Source organism: Homo sapiens, chromosome 21 (assembly GCF_000001405.40).
Source record: "Homo sapiens chromosome 21, GRCh38.p14 Primary Assembly".
NCBI lineage: Eukaryota > Metazoa > Chordata > Mammalia > Primates > Hominidae > Homo > Homo sapiens.
In genome coordinates, this window is record NC_000021.9 from 25,524,553 (window position 1) to 25,531,834 (window position 7,282).

Below are 7,282 nucleotides of genomic sequence, written 5' to 3' on the forward strand. Positions count from 1 at the left end.
TGTTCATGTATTGAAGGAATCAATATTGTTAAAATGTTCATGCTACTACTCAAAGCAATCTACAGATTCAGTGCAATCCCTATCAAAATTTATATGGAGCCACAAAAGACCCAGAATAACCAAAGCTATCCTGAGAAAAAAAAAAAAAAGGAGGACTCACATTACCTCACTTCAAATTGTACTACAGAGCTATAGTAACCAAAACAGCAGAAAACAGGTACTGGCATGAAAACAGACACAAGAACATACCACTGGAGAAAGGACCATCTCCTCAACAAACGGTTCTGGGAAAACTGAATATCCATATGCAGAAGAATTAAATTAGACCCCTATCTCTCACGATATACAAAAATCAAATCAAAATCGATTAGAGACTTAAATCTAAGACCTTAAAATATGAAACTACTAAAAGAAAACATTGGGAAAACTCTCCAGGACACTGGTCTGGGCAAAAATTTCTTGGGTAATACCCCACAAGCACAGGAAAGCAAAGCAAAAATGGACACATATGATCACATTAAGTTAGAAAGCTTCTGCACAGCAAGTAACAAATTTAACAAAGTAAAGAGGCAACCCACAGAATAGGAGAAAATATTTTCAAACTATCCATCTGACAAGGATTAATAACCAGTATATATAAAGAGCTCACACAACTCTGTAGGAAAAATCTAATAATCCAATTTTAAAATGGGCAAAAGATTTGAATACACATTTTTGAAAGAAGACATACAATTTGCAACCAGGTATATAAAAAGGTGCTCAACATCATTGATCACCAGAGAAATGCAAATCAAAACTACAATGAGATATCATCTCACCCCAGTTAAAATGATTTTATCCAAAGACAGGCAATAACAAATGTTGGCAAGGATGCGGAGAAAAGGGAAGCCTCATACATGATTGGTGACAATGTAAATTAGTACAAGCACTATGGAGAACAGTTTGGAGTTTCCTGAAAAAACTAAAAATTGAGCTACCATATGATCCAGCAAAACCACTACTAGGTGTATACCCAAAAGAAAATAAATCAGTATATTGAAGAGACATCTGCATTCCCACATTTATTGCAGCACTATTCACAATAGCCAAGATTTGGAAACAACCTAAGTGTCCATCAACAGGCCTTCTTATTCTTTAGTTATTTTTTGCCTGAAAAAAGTTAATTAAATCTTTTTTTCTGAAATGTGAATCTAATTCTCCTCCCACATCATTAGAGATATTGCTAAATTATCTTTCTTGACTGTATCTCTACCTTTTTCTCTTTTTCCAGGTTTTTTCCTCCAACATACCAATATTCTTACCAGTTTTTCTTTTTAAATGCCTTCTCTTTTGACCTTCTTGTTTCTCGTAGCTACTATCCTACATCATTCTCTTTAATGTCACACTACTTCCTACTTGCAAAAGTGGTCTACACTCTTAAGTCTCCAATTTCTAACCACTTTAAAACACTGCTGTAAAACAATTCTACTTCCATCTTTCTCGACTCTCAACATTACTTTTGTCAAGGTCATCAAAGTTTTTTTTGTTTGTTTTTTGTTTTTTTTTTTGAGACGGATTCTCACTCTGTTGCCCAGGCTGGAGTGCAGAGGCATGACCTCAGCTCATTGCAACCTCTCTCTCCTGGGTTCAAGCGATTCTCGTGTCTCAGCCTCCCAAGGAGCTGGGACTACAGGCATGTGTCACCACGTCCAGCTAATTTTTTGTATTTTTAGTGGAGATGGGGTTTCACCATGTTGGCCAAACTGGTCTTGAACTCCTGACTTCAGGTGATCTGCCCACTTTGGCCTCCCAAAATGCTAGGATTACAGGCATGAGCCACCACGCCTGGCCAAAGACCATTTTGTTGCCGGATTCAAAGAAAATTTTAAAATGTTTATGTTACTTAACTTCCCTGCTGCACTTGACTTTGCAGAACATCTCCTGGCATCACAAAATTTCCTCCTCAGTTGGCTTTTAAGGCTTGACTCCCAATAAGTGAAGGGTGATTACATAAATGTTGCTACATTATATACTAAAGTATATAATACAACCATTAAAGATATGAACAAAAGCACCAACTGCATTTGTGACCCTTTCCATGGGATAGTCACCTTGAAGTACAACTCCTTGGCCAAAGAATATGAACATTTTGAGGGCTCTTAACCCATATTGCCAAAATGTTTTCCAGAAAAGTTTCACTGTCTCATTATTCCACACCTACTACTCCTAGCCTGTCTCCAGTATCCACATGAGTATTGCAAGAATAAAATGTGAAATGCTTGGCATACAATTAAAGAAAAAAAAAAAGATTTGACTCCCTTGCGATTTTCCTCCTAACTTTCTTGCTCTTCCACTTTTTCCTCTTCAGTTGTCTCTTAAGTACTGGGGTTCTCTGCCAGGCTTGGTGGCTCACACCTGTAATCCCAGCACTTTGGGAGGCCAAGGCAGGTGGATCACTTAAGCCCAGAAGTTCGAGACCAGCCTGACACAGGGAACTCTATCTCTACTAAAAGTACACAGATTAGCTGGTGGCACACGCCTGTAATCCCAGCCACTCAGGAGGCTGAGGCAGGAGAATTGCTTAAACCCAGGAGGCGGAAGCTGCACTGAGCCAAGATCATGCCACTGCACTCCAGCCGGGGTGACAGAGCAAGTCTCAAAAAAAGAAAAAAAAAAGGTTTGGGGTTCTCAGACTTTTGCACAAGCCTCTCTTCTCACACTAATACTTATCCTAGCAGACATTACATAATCTCCATGGCATCAAGTAATGCCTATATGCCAGTGAGCTCCAAAATATATACCAAAAACTAAAATAAATGCTCTGAGCTCTAGATCATTTAAGCCAACTAGGGTCTTATATCTCCACTTGGATATGTGATAAGCATCTTAGATTCAAAACTAAATGAATGTGATCAAAACTAACTGCATAATTTCCTCCCAATACTTCCTTCATAGATTGTATTTTTGCCTTCTCCCAAACCAGAAACCTAAGAATCATTCTTATTTCATCCTTCTCCCTGACCCATACTGTCAGTTGTCAATTACTACAGTTTCTACCTTCTAAATTTATACCTGTTGTAACTCTCCGGCACTACCTTTATTCAGGTTCTTGTAACTGACCAGTTGGATCATTGTCAGTCTTCACTGTCTCCATTCTTGCTCCACTCAATACATTAATTAGATTTCTAATAGAATTATTTTCCTAAAATACAAATGTGATTATGCCACTCATATGCTATATCTTTCAATAACTCTCCACTGCTTTGAACATAAAATTCAAACCTCTTAACCTCATACACCAGTTTTTAATCCAGCCTCTCCCATTAATTGTAGTCTTATTACTGTCCAACTCATACCCAGTACCTCGGCCACACTCAACCATTTTTCCCTAACAAGGCATTCACTCCCTTTGCATATATGTTTCCCTCCAACTGACAAAAACTATTACCTTTCCTTGGTTACCTGAAAAATTCCTATTTATCCTTTCAGATATCTCATATACTATCACCTATTCTCTCCACCAGAGGTTGTGTCTTACAATTCCACCTTCCAATTTGGGTTAGATTTTTTTCCAATTTTTTGTATTCTTCTTATAATCAATTATAACAAATATAATTTTAAAATTACTGTCTCTGATATTGAACTAGGAATTCAATGAGGACAGAAATCATGTCTTATAAATCTTTCTTTCTGAGGGCCTATCACCAATGCCTTGTGATCAAGATAGAGATACATAGTTTAAATGAATGAAGAGCAAGTAGTTCAACACAGACATATTAAGAATATAGATGCATTATAAGGACATACAAGGAAATGGCCAAATCATCAAAAGCCTTGTATGTCAGATCAGGATTTTGAAAGTCATCAGAAGATTTTAATAGGAAATGATATAATTAAATGAACACATTTAAAAGCTCATCTTCTTGGTGAATAGACCATGGAAAGATAAAACTGGAGAAACCAAGAGGTTTTGAAATGGGATGAATAAACAATTATGAAAGCCAAGACAATGACTGTGAGGATAAAGAGTAGGAGGAAAATATAAAAGATACTTTGAGAGTGGATAGAACTAAATGGCCAATTTGATATTTGTTAATGAGGCATTGAAAACCAAAGTCATCTCCAAGACTTCTCCCTGAGTGACTAGGAAGATGAATTATTCATTTGTAAATCATTAAACCACATTAAGCATATGCTCTGAACCGGAAATATGCCAGATGCCAAGACCACGAGATAAACAAATAAAACACAGTCTCTGCCCTCCAAAATATAAAGGTGTAGTGGAAGAAATAAACATATGAACATGTAAAAGAATGTAATAAATGTTATTTAAAATCTATAGGCAACATCCTGTGGGAAAACAAAAATTAGCACTTAACTCTGTTTGGGAATTAGTAGTACATAAATGTACTCTTAGTGGAATCATCTCCAAAAACTGTGAGGTACAGTCAACTGAAATAGGAAATTCAGGAAGTGGAGCAGATTTTGAGGACAGAAGGGATACTATTTTCCATTTGAACCAGTTGAGACTGAGTGGTCTGTGGGTAATGCAGGTGACATTCGTCACAGAGTCAGGATCCAGAGTTCATGGAGAAGAGCTGGCCTAGAGACTTCTCACACCAGGATTACTACAATGGTCTTGTATTAGTTTCCTGTGGTTGTGGCAAATCAACACAAACTAGATGGCTTAGAACAACCCAAACTTATTCCCTCAGTGTTCTGGAGGAATCTGAAATCAAGATGTTGTCAGGGCCATTCGCCTTCCAGAGGGTCTATAGGAGAACTCTTCCTTGCCTCTTTCAGCTTCTGGAGACTGTAGGCATTCCCTTACTTATGGCAGCACCACTCCAGTCTCTGCCTCACTGGTTACATTCCTTCCTTCTCTTCTGTCTCAAATCTCCCTCTGTCTTTCTCTTACAAGGACACTTTTCATTGAATTTTGGACCTACCCAGATAATCCAGGATGATCTCCTCATCTGAAAATCCTTACCTTAATTGTATCTATGAAGGCTCTTTTTCCAAATAAAGTAAAATTCATAAGGTTCTAGAAATGTGGACATATCATGTGGGGGCCATCATTCAACCCACTGTGGGTATCCTAACTGATTTCCCTATTTCCACCGCAGGTTGCCTCCTTCAGTCAATTCTCAATACTATAGCTAGAGGAAACCTTTTAAAGCTTAGATCAAGTTGCTTCTCTGTTCAAAACCTCCTATTAGCACCCACTGCAATTAACAGCCAAATGGTTTACCAAGTTTGAGCATATGTGGCCCCCAGTTACCTCTCTGGCATCATCACCTCCTTCTGCCCCCATGTTCACTCCACTTCTGCCCCACCAACCTCCTTGGTGTTCCCTTAACATGACACTCCATCTAATTTACCATATTGTAATGGTTAATTTTATGCCAACTTGACTAAGCTACAAGGTGCCCAGACATTTAACCAAACATTTTTCTGGTGTGCTTGTGATGGGAATTGGGAGTGAAACTGACATTTAAATCAGTAGACTGAGTAAAGCAGATTGCCCCTCCCTAATGCAAGTGGGCACCATCCAATCAGTGGAAGGGCCGATTAGCACAAAAGGCTGACCCTCTCCTGAGTAACAGAGAATTCTTCCTGCCCAGTGACCTTCAAACTGGGACCTCAGCTTGTTACTGCATTTTTGGACTCAAACTGAAACATAGGCTCTTTCTGGGTCTAAAGCCTGTCAGCCTTTAGACTGGAACTACATCTTTGGCTGTTCTGGTTCTCAGGCCTTTGGACTCACACTGGAACTAAACCATGAGCTCTCCTGGGTCTTTAACATGCCCACTCACCCTGCAGATCTTAGGAGTTGTTAGCCTCCATAATTACATGAGCCAATTTCTTATAATAAATCTTATATATGAACATCCTGTTGGTTTTGTTTCTCTAGAGAATCCTAACACATGTATCTTTTATCTATTTATCTTATTTGTTGTCTGTATCCCACTAGAATGTAAACTTCGTGAAGACTGGGAACTTTTTTTTTTAATTATACTTTAAGTTCTGGGATACATGTGCAGAATGAGCAGGTTTGTTACATAGGTATATATGTGCCATGGTGGTTTGCTGCACCTATCAACCCGTCATCTAGATTAGGCATTTCTCCTAATGCTATCCCTCCCCTACCCCCCCGACCCTGCAACAGGCCCTGGTGTGTGATGTTCCCCACCCTGTGTCCATGTGTTCTCATTGTTCAACTCCCACTTATGAGTGAGAACATGCCATGTTTGGTTTTCTGTTCCTGTGTTAGTTTGCTGAGAATGATGGTTTCCAGCTTCATCCATGTCCCTGCAAAGGACATGAACTCATCCTTTTTTATGGCTGCATAGTATTCCATGGTGTATATGTGCCACATTTTCTTTATCCAGCCTATCATAGATGGGCATTTGGGTTGGTTCCAAGTCTTTGCTATTGTGAATAGTGCTGCAATAAACATACGTGGGCATGTGTCTTTATAGTAGAATGATTTATAATCTTTGGGTATATACCCAGTAATGGGATTGCTGGGTCAAATGGAACTTCAGGTTCTAGATCCTTGAGGAATCACCACACTGTCTTCTACAATGGTTGAACTAATTTACACTCCCACCAAAAGTGTAAAAGTTTCCTATTTCTCCACATCCTCTCCAGCATCTGTTGTTTCCTGACTTTTTAATTATCGCCATTCTAACTGGTGTGAGATGATATCTCATTGTAGTTTTGATTTGCATTTCTCTAATGACCAGTGATGATGAGCTTTTTTTCATGTTTGTTGGCTGCATAAATGTCTTCTTTTGAGGTGTCTTTTGAAGTATCTGTCCATATCCTTTGCCCACTTTTTGATGGGGTTGTTTTTTTCTTGTAAATTTGTTTAAGTTCCTTTTAGATTCTGGCTATTAGCCCTTTGTCAAATGGATACATTGCAAAAATTCTCTCCCATTCTGTAGGTTGCCTGTTCACTCTTGTAGGGTCCAGCCCTATGGGGCTTAGCGGGTGTTCTCCCCATATAGAGATTGTAATAAATAAAGACACAAGACAAAGAGATAAAGAGAAAACAGTTGGGCCCGGGGACCACTACCATCAAGACACGGAGACTGGTAATGGCCCCAACGGCTGGGCGCGCTGATATTCACTGCATACATGACAAGGGGGTAGGGTAAGGAGAGTGAATCTCCTAAGTGATTGACAAGGTGAAGCAAGTCACGTGATCACAGGACAGGGGGCCCTTCCCTCTTAAGTAGCCAAAGCAGAGAGAGAGAAGGCAGCATACGTCAGCATTTTCTTCTCTGCACTTATAAGA

At 39.1% G+C, this 7,282-nt stretch overlaps 1 annotated feature.

Moving 5' to 3' along the window:
* Positions 6,515 to 6,618: a silencer, noted in NCBI's record as "fragment chr21:26903379-26903482 (GRCh37/hg19 assembly coordinates)". NCBI's record gives its function as "represses an EF-1alpha promoter that drives an FKBP-Casp9 reporter gene in an ReSE screen in phorbol 12-myristate 13-acetate-treated (for megakaryocytic differentiation) K562 erythroleukemia cells {active_cell/tissue: K562(+PMA)}" and the evidence as "EXISTENCE:reporter gene assay evidence [ECO:0000049][PMID:32094911]".